The 15,743-nt window shown below is 49.9% G+C and overlaps 1 protein-coding gene across 3 annotated transcripts in view, besides 4 other annotated features; it reads left to right on the plus strand.

Moving 5' to 3' along the window:
- Positions 1-15,743, plus strand: part of CDH4 (cadherin 4) — a 688,357-nt gene that overhangs the window by 140,849 nt on the left and 531,765 nt on the right. The window lies entirely within an intron of this gene.
- Positions 2,968-3,469: an enhancer, noted in NCBI's record as "H3K4me1 hESC enhancer chr20:59971133-59971634 (GRCh37/hg19 assembly coordinates)". NCBI's record gives its function as "activates a minimal SCP1, AML or CMV promoter by ChIP-STARR-seq in naive H9 embryonic stem cells {active_cell/tissue: H9 hESC(naive)}" and the evidence as "EXISTENCE:reporter gene assay evidence [ECO:0000049][PMID:30033119]".
- Positions 3,470-3,969: an enhancer, noted in NCBI's record as "H3K4me1 hESC enhancer chr20:59971635-59972134 (GRCh37/hg19 assembly coordinates)". NCBI's record gives its function as "activates a minimal SCP1, AML or CMV promoter by ChIP-STARR-seq in naive H9 embryonic stem cells {active_cell/tissue: H9 hESC(naive)}" and the evidence as "EXISTENCE:reporter gene assay evidence [ECO:0000049][PMID:30033119]".
- Positions 13,077-13,577: an enhancer, noted in NCBI's record as "H3K4me1 hESC enhancer chr20:59981242-59981742 (GRCh37/hg19 assembly coordinates)". NCBI's record gives its function as "activates a minimal SCP1, AML or CMV promoter by ChIP-STARR-seq in naive H9 embryonic stem cells {active_cell/tissue: H9 hESC(naive)}" and the evidence as "EXISTENCE:reporter gene assay evidence [ECO:0000049][PMID:30033119]".
- Positions 13,578-14,078: an enhancer, noted in NCBI's record as "H3K4me1 hESC enhancer chr20:59981743-59982243 (GRCh37/hg19 assembly coordinates)". NCBI's record gives its function as "activates a minimal SCP1, AML or CMV promoter by ChIP-STARR-seq in primed H9 embryonic stem cells {active_cell/tissue: H9 hESC(primed)}" and the evidence as "EXISTENCE:reporter gene assay evidence [ECO:0000049][PMID:30033119]".

Below are 15,743 nucleotides of genomic sequence, written 5' to 3' on the forward strand. Positions count from 1 at the left end.
TAGAAATATCCTCTTTATTATCTCATCTGACCTGAGGGCCTTCATTTGGTTTATACAGAGCAGTCTTGGTGACATTGACAACACTGTTTAATCGGTCCTCGCGGGAGCTTCCCTGGGGGTGCAGGACCCAGTGTTCCCTCCAACAAGAGGCCATCTCACGGGCGAGCCCACACACCTGGAGAGAAACAGAAGGCCCAGCATCCGGTCTTCCAGTGGTGTGGGGGACAGCAGCCGGGGGGGGCCGGGGTCTTCCTTACCTCCTAGCTTGTGTATGGATCAACAACCACCAGCCCCTCTGATGTCGAGGACCCCCAGGGATTGGCAAAATTAAACCTGGATGCTTTGATCGCTGGCAGTAAGCGACACGCTGAACCACAACTTTCTTTCCAGAGTAATTCTGAATGACAGCCCAGAGTGGGGTCTTTATGGAGCAGGATCCTCACGTAGCCCACATTCGCCACAGCCACTTGGCTGAACCCTATTCTAGGTGTTGGCAAGGTAGGTGTTGAGTAACAGAGACCCAAAGCATAGTGGTTGCAGCGAGGATCATCGAAGTAGACCTGGCTGGGTGAGAGTCACTGCAGCCCCTCACGCCTCTGTTGTGTCAGGACAAGATATGTAGCTGGCAGGGTTCTCATGAGGATTACACGAGTCCTGGAGACCGTGCAGTGAACTCTTACACCCCAGGGCTCAGTGTGTGAGAGCTACTGCCACCTTCACCACCAAGACAGTTGCACCATGGGCTTCTCCTCTTCTGTAAAATGGGTCTGTAACGCCCCTGGAAAAGAGTGTGCACTTAATGTTACCATTAACATCATCATAATGACTGCCCCATATTCTATTATACCAATGTAATCTAATAACATTGCTCTATCTGCATAGATCACAGAAGACGTATAATACAAATACTTATATAAATCATTGCATTGTTATTATTCATCGAGAACTATGCTGTGTGTTTTGAAATGTGAGAGCAGGAAGGAGGCCACCCTCAGCTTTGGAGGATTTGTAGGTGATGTTGGTTCGTGTCTCAGGTTCAGCCAGTCATTCCTGGGGAACATTTTCCTCTCTAACCACAGCCCCAGCCCTTTGACCTCAGTCCCCACCGATCTCAGAGGTGCCCCTTCTCCTGGACATCTTCATTTCCACCCGGGAAGGCATCACTCCAGCATCTCCTGCCATCCAGGACTCTCCCGCCCCTGCCTGTCCCTCTCGGGCAGAACCCACCTCTCAGCCCCAGCGACCAGCGGCAGGTGAGCAGCAGCAGCAACCCAGTCCTGAGAACTGCTTCGTTTGTAAAGAAAGTCGGTTGTTCCCATCTTCCTGGAAAGATGTGTATTTCTTAAACTCTTTCCTGTTTCCACTTTGATAGAGACATAGAGATACAAAAGTGAGAATGTCCGTTTCTCTGGCAAGGACAGTAAGAAGTAGGTGACAGGTAGCACTTGTCCTTAGGCTGGGCCGAAGAGAGCACCAGGGCGGGGTGAGGACTGCGGCCAGGGGACAGCTGAGCACCATCTGAGCAGTCAGGGGGCAGATAAGTGCCATCTGAGCAGACAGGCAGCCTTTCCCAGTGGGTGTTGGAGCCAGAACTGCTGCCTCCTCTTCCAGCCTCTCAAAAGGAGCCAGCAAATCCATATTTTTAGGTGAAATTATTTAATTTTTAAATGTTGGAAACTTCGTACTTTCAAAAAAACATAAAACACTCTACGAGCCCAACAGAAGGCACCTGTCGTTTGGAAGCAGTCCATGGCCATGGGGCTGTGAGCCCTCACAACCCTGCCCCTGTCACCCCCACCCCGCCCAGCAGTGATTCTGAGGCCCCAAGGTCCATCCTGGAAAAGCGCTCCCTGAGCTGGGGCACCTGTCTGGACCCCCACCTGTGGCTCCTAGGCTGGAGGTTAGAGTCTCCTGGGAGAACTGGAAATGGTAACCTTGAAATTTGAAGCCACTCTCCTCCTGGGAGGACAGGACACTGGGCAGGACGGGCCTTGGGAAGTCCCAGGGGGGAGATGCACCTTCAGCCTCTCTTGCTCCTGCCTGTCCTAATCCTGAAATTTCACTTTGTCAAAAGAAAAAATGCTGAGGAACTCATCCAGAGAAAAATATTTTAGTCTTGTAACTCCAAAATATAGACATTTGTTATTTTATAAATTATATATGGGAACTCCTGTACTACTGTTATTTAGTAAAAACATTCAACATAAATTGACATGTTAAAGTTGCAAAAATAAATTTGTATTAATTATTAACAGCAGAAGAACCTTTTTGCTCATATATGACATATATACATGCATATATATGGCATTAATACGTACATGGCATTATTAATAACGTATATGATATACCATGACATAACATATGCATAGTATTATCAATAATGTTACTAGCCAGGCATGGTGGTTCACACATGTAATCCCAGCACTTTGGGAGGGTAAGGCAGGAGGATCTCTTGAGCACAGGACTTTGAGACCAGCCTGGGCAACATGGTGAGACCCCATCTCTACAAAAATCACAAGCATTAGTTGGGCATGGTGGTTCGTGCCTATAGGCCCAGCTACTCCAGGGGCTGAGGTGGGAGGATCACTTGAGCCCAGGAAGTCAAGACTGCAGTGAGCCAAGATGGCGTCACCGCATTCCAGCCCGGGAAACAGGGAGACTCTGTTTCAAATAAAAAATGTTGCTAGTATTCTAAACACTTAGGTTTTAAAGGGCTTGCTAGCTTTGCTATCGGGGTATTATCTGAAGGCACGAAAACTCTTAGGGGAGTGTCCTGCTTAATGATAGCCAGCATTGATCCATATTTCATAGTCTTATTAATTGGAGATGTTTGGGATGATTTCATCAATTTAATTAGATCTTCACTTGTCTTTACCCCTAATGTGGCTGACAGATAGCTTGGATTAGGACTGGATGTGGGGCCGCCAAATTTGTTTGAGTAAATAATACATAAGTTTTATTGGCGCTCAGGCCCATCCGTCGTGCCGTCTTTGACTCTTATGCTATGACAGCAGCAGCGTCGAGTAGTTGCTGCAGAGACCGTATAGCCCTGAAAGCCTAAAATATTATAGTTACCAGGTGGCCTTTTGCAGAAAAAGTGGTTATTCCCAAACTCAGGTCGGGGTGGAGGGTGAGGGCCACATCCTGGTACCATCCTGGCTACATCGGAATTTCCAGGGCCCTTGAAGACCGAGGTCGAGGCCCCTTCCTTGGAGACCTAGCAGGCAGGGAGCCTGGGACTGTGTATGGAACTGAGCCTCTGGGGCCATCATGGAGCTCGGCAAGAGGCTCAGGAGGATCTGGAAAGCACGTGGACTTCCCAGGATGCTGGCAGCGTCCGGTGTTTCTCAAATTGCGTTCTGCGCATAGACCACCTGGGGTGCTGCCCCCTCACAGCACAGGTTCCTGCCCTCACCTGGCCATGGAACTACTGAGTAACCTGTTTCCCTGAGCATCTCTGTGCCTAGGACTGGCCACGGGGAGCATCCTGAGACCAGCAGACCTGGCCCGGCTTCCTTGGCCTGGCAACTCCACTTGCTGTGCAGACTTCCTCCTCCTGTCTCCAGCGTCTCCACGTTTCTCGGCTCACAGTTCTGGGGCCCTGCGGAGGCCCCGAAGGGGTAGCTTCTTCCTCCGTTCAATCAGTCGCCATAGGCACAGTGACCCATCACTAGCCTAGGAGGGAGATGCCGGGGGCTGGAAGCCCTGGGGTGGGGAGGGATGCCCCAGGGCTCTAGTGGTTTTCATGATACACTTTTTAATACTACTTAAATCTTTCAACTATGTAAACAGTATCTTGATAAAAATACTGTTTTGTTTTTGAGACAGTCTCACTTTGTCACCCTGGCTGGAGTGCAGTGACATAATAACAGCTCACTGCAGCTTCGACTTCCCAGGCCCAAGCAATTCTCCCACCTCAGCCCCCGCAAGTAGCTGGGATTACAGGTGCGCCACCACACCCGGCTAATTTTTTGTATTTTTTGTAATACGGGGTTTTGCCGTGTTGCCCAGACTGGTCTCAAATTGCTGAGCTTGGGCAATCCACCCGCTTCAGCCTCCCAAAGTGCTGGGATTACAGGTGTGCACCACCGCAACTGGCCTTCATAAAAATATTTATTTAAATGAGGAAAAACCAGAAAGTCTTGAGAAGTGAGGCCTCTTCTGGGTGAAGTTTCTTGCGACGAATGGAGGAGGCAGGAAGGGCAGCTGCAGGAGGGGGTCCTGGTCTTTTTCCCCAATGGGGTGGTGGCCAGGTCCCGAATTCATGTTGTGAAACTTCACCCAACTGTGTTCACGACCTTCAGGCTTCCTTGCGCATATCACATGCTTCCTAAACGCATACTTAGAAAAATACAGGCTTTTGAGGGCTTTCCCAACGAGACCTAGAATCACCTTGATACGCCGTCGAGACCGAACTTGAAACCTGGGTCTTGTTACTGGAGGTAGCCCCATATCGCCCTTTGAATTAATACTTTTTGTAAATCCTGTCATTTTCTTCAGAATGGCATAATCACATTGCATTGTATTTTCCCCATTTCAATGGTAATAGATATAAATGTTTAAACTGCACTATAGTTTTTGTTAGAAAAAGAATTCCCTCCTGAGCAGGGTCCCCTGTCCTGTTTGTGACTGAGTTATCGGTGCAAGGTGGACATACATGCATACCTTAGGAAGTGGCCACTGAGTGAATGGACACATGGATTGGACAAATTAATAAGATTCCCATGTGCCCTGAAGTCTAGAACCATGGTACTGAAACTTTAGCATGAACGCTTGGCCGTATCGCAGCTGCTATTTTTTTTTAGCGCATCCAGTGTACAGAAGGGATATCACTGGTATTTTGGCCTGACCTGCCCGATGGAGCAGGACAAGGCTGACCGCATGCCGAGCTGCGTGCCTGGGAACCACATGGCAAGCTTCACCTGCGTGTCCTGAACCAGCCAGAAGTGTGAGCTTCTTTCCACCGATTCACTTGCTGTGTTCATTTGCAGACAGAGACTTGTATTCTCACGTTAGAATTGAATGAGCATTCAAGCGTATCAGTCTTGGTTATTTATCTTGGAATTGATAATGTACCTCCAAAGATTTCCGGCTTTAAATATTGACAGAGGCCTGATTCTGCATTATGGTAGATTTGCATTCTAGATTTCTTCAGCTTATGCACGGAAGGGACAATGTTCCTGAGAGCACTGTTAACAACACAAAAGGAAAACTATTTAATGTTTTTTGCGTCTATCACCTCTAAGGGTGGAGAGAGCAGGGTGGATGGACTCTGTGAGGCAGGGCTCCCCAGGGAAGCAGAATCATCGGATGTGTATACACAGAGGAGATTTCTTTTAAGGACTAGGCCCCAAGGGCATGGGGTCTGGCAAGTCTGAAATCTGCAGAGCAGGCTGATGGGTAGGAGGAGACCAGGGAGAGCGGGTGTGGCCCTTCGAGTCCCAGGGAGTCTCCCGGCGAAATTCCCTCCTCTTCTAGGGAGCCGAGTCTTTCTTAAAGCCTCAACTGATTGGACAAGGCGCACCCACACCATGGAGTTTCATCCACCTCACTCCATGTCTACGAACTGAATTGTTAATCCCATCTAAAAATATCTTCACCACCACATTCAGGCTGGGTACCTAGGTCTGGGTACTGTGGCCTAGCCAAATTCGTTAATTTTGACACATACACAATTATGTCTTGGAGGAAGATTGGCCTTGCGTCAGTCATTGTGTGTCCCCTTTCTCAGGCCAGCAGGTGTGACTGGTGTGCCCAGAGCAGGACTCTCACAGTCAGACCCCGGCCACAGCCCAGTCCTGTAGGCCCTGTTGCTCTCACATTTTCAGATTGTGCAGCCTCTGGCCATGGAGGTGTGATGCTGATGTAGGTTAAATGCTGATGTGGGTTAAATGTGGATGTGGGTTAAATGCTTTGTAAAGTGAACCCCAGGTCATTATTTATACTAAGTCCTTAAAGCCTAGGCCTACCACTCAGAACCTTAACAATTGTTTCAGGAGGAAAAACCCACTTTTTTTTTTTTTTTTTTTTTTTTGAGACGGAGTCTCACTCTGTCGCCCAGGCCGGACTGCGGACTGCAGTGGCGCAATCTCGGCTCACTGCAAGCTCCGCTTCCCGGGTTCACGCCATTCTCCTGCCTCAGCCTCCCGAGTAGCTGGGACTACAGGCGCCCGCCACCATGCCCGGCTAATTTTTTGTATTTTTAGTAGAGACGGGGTTTCACCTTGTTAGCCAGGATGGTCTCGATCTCCTGACCTCATGATCCACCCGCCTCAGCCTCCCAAAGTGCTGGGATTACAGGCGTGAGCCACCGCGCCCGGCCAAAACCCACTTTTTAAAAAGATTTTTTATTGGAAAATTTCAAACGTACCCAAAGGTAGAGAGCATAGTATCCCTGAGCCCCTGGCTCATCTCCCAGCTCCCTCTATGACCACCCCAGGCCTGGCTCAGCCTTTGCACCCCCTCTGCCCTCCCCAAAGCCTCACCTCCATCATGAGGTCCTATCCGGTTGGTCTATGGTGTGTGCCGGGCCTCGCTGCAGGACTTGGCAAATTGGCCACTCACGTCCACCTGCCCATCCATCACCCACGAAGCACTTGGCCTCTCCAGTTCCCTTTCAGTGTTTTTTCAACCTGCCTCTTTTTTAGTTCCTGCTCACATGTGTGATGCTGGGCTCAGGAGATCCTGAGGGGAGGAACTCAGAGCCTGCCCTGCAGGGGCTCGGGGACAATGGTGCCTTCCCCGGCAGGGTCTGAGGGGCTCAGCACAGGTTGCCCACTGCAAGCCCAGTGGTTCTCACGCACTCCTGCTCTAGGCAACCAACCCCCTGGACAGCTGCTTTGGTGACCAGTGGTAGGGGGAATAGCTGGATGGGCCCATTTTTACCAGGATCCCTCCTGTCATTTTTCAAACCAGTCCCCCTTACAGCTGGGCAGCACGTTTTGGGACAACTCTCCCACAAGTGGGCTGTGGCCTGGCCCTAACTGTAGAGAACAGCCATGCCCAGGCTGGCTTCAATCTGACTGTCACAGCTCTGATGGCAACACAGAGGCCCCCAGGTCTTCGGGGGGCTTCTCTGGAGGGAGTTAGTGCCTCCCAATCTGCAGAAACTCCTGGAGACCTGAATGTTTCGTCTGTCAAAAGATGATGCTCTACAATCAGAGCTTTCCTGTGATCAACAGGACCTCTCAGGAGTTATAGTTATTGGAAACTGAAGTATTCACTGGAAGGAAGGAAAGGAAGGAACCCTTTAGGGCTGATCTGAGGTGGAAAGTGATGCTGCACTGGGGGTAGCTTTGCTGCATCAGAGTTCAGGGAAGAGGACCCAGTCCTCCTTGCAGCCTAGATGATCCCCGGAAACCCTAGTTCTGCTTTGATAAGAGACATCCCCTAAATCTCAGGACTACTGTCAAAGGTTTATTTCTTGCTCATTCTGTATGTTCCCATGAATCTGTAGGGACTCTGCTCCATATGGTCACGCATGGATCCAGTCTCCACCGTCTCATCTCTGCACCATCGGGAACACATAGGCTCCTTAGTCACTGCTGTGGGATGAGCCCCCTGGGAGCAGTCCTGGCCTTGGGGGTGGGGATGCGAGAAGCTTCTCTGGGTCCCTTGGTGGGACAACAAGGGCTCCTGGCTGCAGCACCAGAGGGCTTCGGGGCCGGCCTGGCCCCACCTCCGCTGGTACCATCACCTCCTTGTTGTTCTGGCCTTTCTATTTCCACCGGCCCTGCCCCCTTCCAGAGCCTCATCCTTTCATCTGCACCTTGTGAGCTCCTAACTACTTTCTAAGTTGACGTCCCTTTGCCACTGTAGTCATTCTTTCTCTGTATTCTGCTTTCTTCAGATCTTCTTTCACAGTCGCCAGCATGCAGATGCAACCCTGTCATCTTCCACCCATTTCACACCTGGCCCTCCAGACAAGTCCAGAGCTCCTAGCACGGTCCCTAGACCCTGTTTCTGGGCCATGCAGGCCTCTCCAGCCTCATGCTCATCACTGGGCAGACGTACTGTCCTTGGCAGACTCTGAAGTGACAACCTTTAGGAGGCAGGGCCTACCCACTGTCACCCAGATAAACCTGAAGCCTCTTCCCATGCAACCTGTACTTTTCACTCCAAATTTCAAAAATGCAATTGTAAACCTGCTCCACCAATAAGTAGCCCATGGGTCTTTGAGAAGGAAGGATCTGTATCTTTTGGTTCTGTGCCTGGTACATTGCAGGCTTCAGTCCCTGTTGTGCGTTGAACTATGCAGAAATCATCCATGCCATTTTTTTGTCAGACAAAAAGAACAGGGTCAGAATCTCACGATTGCACCCCACCCTACCATGGGGCTGTCATGAATGTTGTGTGGCATCTTTTTTGTTTGAAATGAGAGAAACGTAACTCGTGCTCGTGCAGCCAAGAGGGGCATGGGCTTCTTCACATAACCTGAAGCGCAAGGACAGCCTGGCTTCAGGTGTGGCTGGATCCAGGTTTTCAAATGTCCGATCTCTTGAACACAGTTTCTTCATATGGTGGGCACTGTGACATATCATGACCTCTTAGACTGCCAGCCTCTTCTCATAACTGTGATAGGAATGTCACTCTGTCTGGTCTGGTTTAGGACAGAATTCTACACATCTGTAGATTCTTTGGCCAGGGAGTAAATACAATGACTAGGCCTGGGTTACGGACCCACAGCTGAGGCCCCAGTGTAAGTGAAGGGTCAGCCCTGCAGTCATCTGCTGGAACGGAGGCCCATGAAAGAAGGAGAAGGGAGCCCAGGGGACAGAGGCCACAGTCACCTGTGACAAAAGCTGCTAGGAAGAACTGACCAGCTGCACATGCATTTAATGATGGACTTCTATAACCATCTTGTTCACAGGTGTATCACGGAGGCCAGCAGTGGTTGCTCAGATGTTGTTTGTGGAGGCTGGAAACATCCCTGGGTAACATTTGTCCCAGTCACCTAGCTACACAGCACAGAATGGATTTTTATAATAATGGATATTTGCACAGAGCCGCTGTCTTAAAGCATATACAGCCATCTCTCAGTATCTGTGGAGGACTGGCTCCAGGACTTCCCCAGGATACCAAAATCCAAGGATGCTCAAGTCCTTGATGTAAAATGATGCAGTATTTGTGTGTTACCTATGCACATCCTCCCATGTACTTTAAATCACCTCTAGGTTACTTATAATACCAAATGCAATGTAAATGCTATGTAAATAGTTGTTATACTGTATTGTTTATGAAATATTGACAAGAAAAGTCTGTACATGTTCAGTACAGATGCAGTTTTGTTTGTTTGTTTGTTTTGAGGCAGAGTCTCACTCTGTCACCCAGGCTGGAGTGCAGTGGTACAATTTTGGCTCACTGCAGCCTCCTCCCGGGTTCAAGCAATTCTCATACCTCAGTTTCCCAAGTAGCTGGGACTACAGGTGCACACCACCATGCCCTGCTAATTTTTGATTTTTAGTAGAGATGGGGTTTCATCATGTTGGCCAGGCCGGTCTCAAACTCTTGACCTCAGGTGATCTGCCCACCTCAGCCTCCCAAAGGGCTGGGATTACAGGCATGAGCCACTGTGCCTGGCCCAGATGCAGTTTTTAAAACATATTTTCAATCAGCAGTCGGTTGAATCCATGGATATGGAACCCATGGATATGGAGGGCTGACTATCTACATAGCATCTTATCTGAAACAGGTGTTAGGCCAGTTTATAGATGAAGAAACAGAATGGTTAAGCCACTTGTCCTTTTGTCACTAGGATGGAGTTCATTGGAGAAAATCCATTTTTCCTTTCTTCCTTATTTACAGATCCACAAATTTACATAGGACAATAATCCACCCAACAAAAAGGCTGATTTCCCAGGCTCCCTTACAGCGAAGCATCACCCTGTCACTAAGTGCTGACCACTGTGATTAAGTGGAAACATTTTGTGGGACTTCCAGAAAGTTAATTTTGCAAATTTTGCAGGGGTCTCTCCTGCCCCCATTCTCCCTTTCTCCTTTTTCCTGCATGGAACACAGCTGTGATAGCTGGAGGTCCAGCAGCCACCTTGGACCATGAGGGGATCTTGAAGAGGCAAGCTACACATGTACACAGCAGAAGAGCAGGAGGCGGGTCTTGATCTTTGCCATCCTCTTTGCTACTATCATCCTCCTGCATTGCCAGATTTTGGGCTTCACTTACAGGAGCAAATACAGCCCTGTGGGTTTGAGGGTGTTTCCTTGTGTGCAGTTGAACCTGCAGTCCTTCATACTGAGTAACTTATTTTTTCTGGAGCTGCTGAGTTTGGGGGCAGCGGTGGTACTGAGTCCCAGTTGTTGCTTTGCTTCTCTTGGGTGGTCCTCATACCCTGAGGTCTACGGTCCCCTCTCTAGAGATCCGGATGTTCTGGAGAGTGGCCACTTTGTGGGCCCTGTCTCCCTGGTGTCGGTGCCATAACTCAAATCAAATCATCGTGGAAAACATGCAGGCTGGATTAAGAGACTAGGACGGGACTTTTTCCCTGACTTTGTTTCTGCCTGGACCTCAGGCATGCGGCATTATTCTCCAGAAGGCCGTGTGCTCATGCAGGGCTGTGCTCACCTCTTGTGTTCTTGGGTCTGTACTTCCCCTCAGGAACTCCGTGTGTATTCCTGATTTCGCACGGGACAATTTTTTTTGGCACAGATAGTAGACTTAAATTGTCTTTATCCCAAAACCCAAACTGAGAGGGGAAATCAACATCTTTAACATGGAATAGCTTGTCCCCTTTGTCTACATACAGGGAGAAAATGTCTGGCAGGACGCTGTGTTTCAGGAAAAAGTCTGCAAATTGCAGTGTGTGATCTCCAGCTCATGTAAATATCTCCACATGTTATTCTTAATTAATTATATTTTATTGAAGTAATTAGGTAACTGACAACCTCAGTTAAGTCCTAATGAAAGGACCATGTCTTTTCACATGCCGTTGATCAGAAAGTACAGCTTGGACTCCCAGGAGCTGGGCACTGGGCAAGGAGACACTGGGCAGGTGCAGCTGAGCTGGTGCAGCTGAGCTGCTACAGCCAGGCGGGTACAGGGGTCCTGGGCCAGGACTCCCACCACCACCTGTCCCAGGGCACATTTCTTCTCCTTGCTAAGGACAAGATGCTTCTGCAGCCCCCGCCCCCTTCCTCTGCTTGTTCCTGATTGTTTTAATTTCCAAAAACCATGATGAGGACAGCTGCTGAAATCTTAAACAATGCTGCTTCTCTGGAAAGTTGGGTTAATTTGTTTAATTTTCACACCTTTCACCCTCCTCCACAATGGTAGAGTGCTTTTGTGTCAAGGCATCAAATAAATTTCACGCTTCTTGCCTTTTCTGAAATATCCGGTGGCATTAAACGCACCCAGTGCACCTGGCTCCGGCCCGAGGCTTCGAGACTTAATTGTGGTTATGACGATCTGCAAGAGGAGGCCTGATTATTCCCGACGCCACTTGCATTGAGGCACAGAGACAACGTGGGCAGGGGATTTGGGAGAAAATTGCATTCTGTTTTCTTAAGGCCAAATTTCCCATTAATCTGAGCTGCTTCTTAAGGAAAATGTGAAACATCCCGAGGCTTCAGGGACTTGTGTGAGAATATTTAGGCTTTTTTTTTTTTTCTTTTTTTCCTAGGGAGAACATTATTAAGAAAAAGCTCAGGCTGGGCGTGGTGGCTCACGCCTGTAATCCCAGCACTTTAGGAGGCTGAGGCAGGTGAATCATAAGGTCAGGAGATCAAGAACATCCTGGCTAACACGGTGAAACCCCGTCTCTACTAAAAATACAAAAAATTAGCTGGGCATGGTGGCACGTGCCTGTAGTCCCAGCTATTCACGAGGCTGAGGCAGGAGAACCGCTTGAACCTGGGAGGCGGAGGTTGCAGTGAGCTGAGATCGCGCCCCCGCACTCCAGCCTGAGTACAGAGTAAGATTCAGTCTCAAAAAGAAAAAGCTCCCTTATTTCTACTGGGGTTATCAATAAGTGAATCTAAATGAGTCTTTGAGGCTGATTTTGTTTCGGGGTCCCAGGGAGTGGATGTGGAGAGGTCCTCCATCCCCTCCTTTCGACCCTGCCTCCCTCCCCGGGATGCGCTGCGTATCTGTGTCCCTCAGCAGAAGCCATGGTCATCTTTTTCTCCCACGCGCCGTTCTCGGGCAGTGATTCCGTAATCCCCCTCCTGTGAACTAGTGTGCCACTTCCATACTGATCACGCTAGTAGACATATATCCTTTATCAAACGTTCTGGAAATCACTCATCACCATGGTGCTGATGTTTTACAGTGCGGCCCTTTATGATTTTAGGGGCTGTGAGCCTCTCCCGTCCTGTAAAGTAAAGATAAAAACCAAAGAAACTGCTCCCAGAGTCAGTGTGGTACAACGACGCGCTGTCACCGCAGCCCCAATCCCTGGTGTTCTTACTATTAGACGAGTTGATATTCTCATGTCTGCCACAGAGGGGAAAATGAAATCTGAGGCTGAAGTAGAAATAGAACCCAAGGGTCTCAACTCCTGTTTTAGGTCTTTTTTATAGTAAATATTTAGACTAGGTCTGGCTATATATATTATAGCTATATCTATGTATCTATAATTTTTTTTTTTTTTGAGACAGAGTCTCACTCTGTCACCCAGGCTGGAGTGCAGTGGCGCAATTTCAGCTCACTGCAAGCTCCGCCTCCCTGGTTCACGCCATTCTCCCGAGTAGCTGGGACTACAGGCGCCCGCCATCACGCCCAGCTAATTTTTTGTATTTTTAGTAGAGACGGGGTTTCACCGTGTTAGCCAAGATGGTCTCGATCTCCTGACCTCATGATCCATCCGCCTCGGCCTCTCAAAGTGCTGGGATTACAGGCGTGAGCCACCGCGCCCGGCCTATAATTTCTATAATTGATGAACTTAATCACGTGAGTTCCTCTATAGATCATAACTGTCACTTGTCCCATAAACCCAGCCCCTTGGTGTGGATCAAAATCTTCCACGTCTTTATTGGGAGCAAAGACCTCGCACTTGGCTTGCAAGGTTACAATCTCTGTCGGGATTTTTCAGGATCCCGAAAGCCCAGGTAATGCCCGTCTGGTACACCAATACCTGGTTTCACCCCAGACCACCATCTGCTCTACCCGGACCACCATCTGCTCTACCCGGACCACCATCTGCTCTACCCGGACCACCATCTGCTCTGCCCGGACCAGCATCTGCTCTGCCTGGACCACCATCTGCTCTGCCCGGACCACCATCTGCTCTGCCTGGACCACCATCTGCCATCTGCTCTGCCCGGACCACTGTCTGCTCTGCCCAGACCACCATCTGCTCTGCCCGGACCACCATCTGCTCTCCCTGGACCACCATCTGCCATCTGCTCTGCCTGGACCACCATCTGCCATCTGCTCTGCCTGGACCACCATCTGCTCTGCCTGGACCACCATCTTCTCTGCCCGGACCACCATCTGCCATCTGCTCTGCCTGGACCACCATCTGCTCTGCCCAGACCACCATCTGCTCTGCCTGGACCACCATCTGCCATCTGTTCTGCCTGGACCACCATCTGCTCTGCCCGGACCACCATCTGCTCTCCCTGGACCACCATCTGCCATCTGCTCTGCCTGGACCACCATCTGCCATCTGCTCTGCCCGGACCACCATCTGCTCTGCCTGGACCACCATCTGCTCTGCCCAGACCACCGTGTGCTCTGCCCAGACCACCATCTGCTCTGCCCGGACCACCATCTTCTCTGCCTGGACCACCATCTGCCATCTGCTCTGCCCGGACCACCATCTGCTCTGCCCGGACCACCATCTGCTCTGCCTGGACCACCATCTGCCATCTGCTCTGCCTGGACCTCCGTCTGCTCTGCCTGGACCACCATCTGCTCTTCTTGGACCACCATCTGCTCTGCCCGGACCACCATCTGCTCTGCCTGGACCACCATCTGCTCTGCCCGGACCACCATCTGCTCTGCCTGGATACAGCGTCAAATAAGACAGATGTCTCTACTGTCCCCACCAAGCAAAGATGTACCACTTGCAAGGTTGCTGTGAGGTCCCTGTGAAGACTCAAGAGAGCCAACACAAAGCCTCCTGCAACAGTTAGCTGCCAAACCCAACTGCTGCTTCTAGAACAGTTTCCCATTGGTTCCGTATGTGGCTGGGTTCTTTCTCATTATGTTGACATCGACTGAAATGTCAGGTCCTTAGAGAAGCCGTGCCTGCCACCCCGGGTTCTGTCTCTTCCTTGAGCTTCTCAGCACCTGGCATCTAGCGGTTGATGCCACCTTCACCTGTTGTCACCGAACCCTGGGGACAGGTGTGGCTGACTCGCTCTCCACCGATTCCAAGCACTTGCAACTCTGGGATTTGTTCAGACAAATCATTGTGGGTGAATACGTGGCTCAGAAAGGCCTAAATGGCTACAACCACTTTAGAAAAGACTTCGGCAGGGTCTTATAAGTAAAGTGACACACAAACTTCCCTATGAAATTGCTCCAGAAATTATACTCAACTGGGTATTTTCCCCAGAGAAATGAATGAGTCTGTCCTGATAAAACATGTGAAGGAATGTGCAGATAAGCTGTATTCTAGTAGCCCCATACTGGACGCTGCCCAAGTGTGCATACCTAGAGGGACAGATGAGAGGACCGTGGTGCAGTCACAGGATGGAACACAGCACGGTGATGAGTAATGCACTGTGCACAGTGACATCAGTGACTGTCATGTCATTACATTACATGGAGCGAAGGAAGCCAGGCACAAGGGGAGACACACTGTGTGATGCTGTTTCCATGAAGTCCAGGAACAGGCAACGCTAATTGTCTTAGCTCCCTATTGCTGCCATAACAGAGGACGACAATCTCAGTGGCTTAAGCAACAGAAGAGAATTCTCTTACTGAAAGCCACCTGTCTAAAATGCAGCAGCAGGTCCTGCTTTTCCTGCAGGTTACAGGGGGAAGTCTGTTTCCTCATCTTTTCAGCTTTTAGGAGCTGCCTTGCCCCACTCCGACCTCTCCATCGTCAAGTGTCCTCTCACTAGGACTGTCCCCTGCCTCTCTCTTATAAGGGTCCCTGAGATTACACTTCATGCTCACCCAGGCAACCCAGGATCATCTCTGCATCTCGAACTCCTTAACTTCATCATACCTGCAAAGTCTGTAAAAGCTCTGGAGGTTAGGGCGTGGGCATCTCAGGGGAGCCATTGTCTTCCTGCCCCAGGAACAGATGGTGATGCGGTTTAACTTGGGGGGTGGTGTTGCCTGGGAATGGATGAGGGGAGTGTTCTGGGGGCTGGCCATGCTCTAGATCTGGACCTCAGACTTGGACACAGGCACATGCATGAGTAAAAGTTGACCAGACCGTAACCGTAGACTCAGTGCACATCACTGTGTGTTTGTTACACTTGGGCACAAATCTAAAACAGAAGAGAAGGGTAAAGCTACCCTCCTCCAGATGTTGCATTGCCTGTGTGTAGTGCCCCTGTGCTCAGAGGGTGAACAAAGCAATAACCAGGCCCTGTGTTAGTGAGCGTCATGGAGACAGTGTGGGGTGCGTGGAGGTGAGGCGTGGAGCAGCCAGCTGCCACCACCTGTGTTTTAGAGCCCCTTCCTGGTTCCATTTCATTTTGCATACAACACCATGGAATCACATGATGGAGAGTGAAGCAGCTTATTTTTTATATGGGGCCCATGACAGCATAGTGAGTGGGGCTTTTACAGATGTTTATGGAAGGGAAGTTCTTTGCGATCCTCAGTACCC

The sequence above is a fragment of the Homo sapiens genome, chromosome 20 (genome assembly GCF_000001405.40).
Source record: "Homo sapiens chromosome 20, GRCh38.p14 Primary Assembly".
NCBI classification, from domain to species: Eukaryota; Metazoa; Chordata; class Mammalia; order Primates; family Hominidae; genus Homo; species Homo sapiens.